Source organism: Homo sapiens, chromosome 12 (assembly GCF_000001405.40).
Source record: "Homo sapiens chromosome 12, GRCh38.p14 Primary Assembly".
In the NCBI taxonomy this organism is placed as follows: domain Eukaryota; kingdom Metazoa; phylum Chordata; class Mammalia; order Primates; family Hominidae; genus Homo; species Homo sapiens.
This window is the reverse complement of record NC_000012.12, coordinates 121367966-121369324: the sequence shown is the minus strand read 5'-3', so window position 1 is coordinate 121369324 and position 1359 is coordinate 121367966.

Below are 1359 nucleotides of genomic sequence, written 5' to 3'. Positions count from 1 at the left end.
GTGGTACAAGCTTACCCCACTCTAGGCAACCAAATATATATTAACATAATTTCAGTTTTGTTTTTGTTTTTTTTGAGATGGAGTCTCACTCTGTCACTCAGGTTGGAGTGCAGTGGCACGATCTCAGTTGACTGCAACCTCCGCCTCCTGGGTTCAAGCAATTCTCCTGCCTCAGCTTCCCGAGTAATTGGGATTACAGGTGCATGCCACCACGATCGGCTAATTTTTTTTGTATTTTTTTTTAGTAGAGATGGGGTTTCCCCATGTTGGCCAGGGTGGTCTCAAACTCCTGACCTAAAGTGATCCGCCGGCCTTGGCCTCCCAGAGTGCTAGGATTACAGGCCTGAGCCACTGCGCCCGGACATAATTTCAGTTTTTTACAGAGGATGCATTGCGGTATGACTGCTTGCTTAACAGGCTCCCATTAGTCTTTAATTTCCAATCTCCCTTAAGGCACTGGAAAATTTAACCACCATCAAAAGATTTAGCAGTGATTTTCAAGGAACTCAGCTTCTGAGTAGATGAAAGTCTTTACAATACAAAACACACACCAGCGGCCAGAAAATGTTAATATAAGCTTCCAAGTCAGCCAGGGAAATTGCCTTCTTATGTGAGATGTGGCAGAATTTATTTAAGGAGTGACGTGCCTGTAATTCCAGCACTTTGGGAGGCCGAGGCGAGAGGATAACTTGAGCCCAGGAGTTTGAGAGTAGCCTGGGTAAGATAGGAAGACCCATCGCTACAGAAAATTTTAAAAACATTAGCTGGGTGTGGTGACACGTGGCTGTGGTCCCAGCTACCTGGGAGGCTGAGGCGAGAGGATCACTTGAGCCTGGGAGGTCAAGGCTGCAGTGAGACTGGATCAATTATGCTACTGCACTCCAGCCTGGGTGATAGAGTGAGACTCTGTCTCTGAAAAAATAAGCTAAAGAAAAAAGAGGCCGGGCACGGTGGCTCACGCCTGAAATCCCAGCATTTTGGGAGGCCGAGGCAGGAGGATCACCTGAGGTCAGGAGTTTGAGACTAGCCTGGCCAACTCGGTGAAATCCCATCTCTACTAAAAAGACAAAAATTAGTTGGGCACGGTGGCGCATGCCTGTAATCTCAGCTGCTCAGGAGGCTTGAGGCAAGAGAATTTCTTGAACCCGGGAGGCAGAGGTTGCAGTGAGCTGAGATTCCACCACTGCACTCCACCCTGGGCGACAGAGCGAGACTCTGTCTCAAAAAAAAAAAAAAAAAGAAATTAAATGTTTTAGAGTACACCTCTGAATAGGATTTTTTTTTTTTTTTTTTTTGTGACAAGGTCTCACTCTGTTGCCCCCGCCTCCTGGGTTCTACCCATTCTCCTGCCTCAGCCTC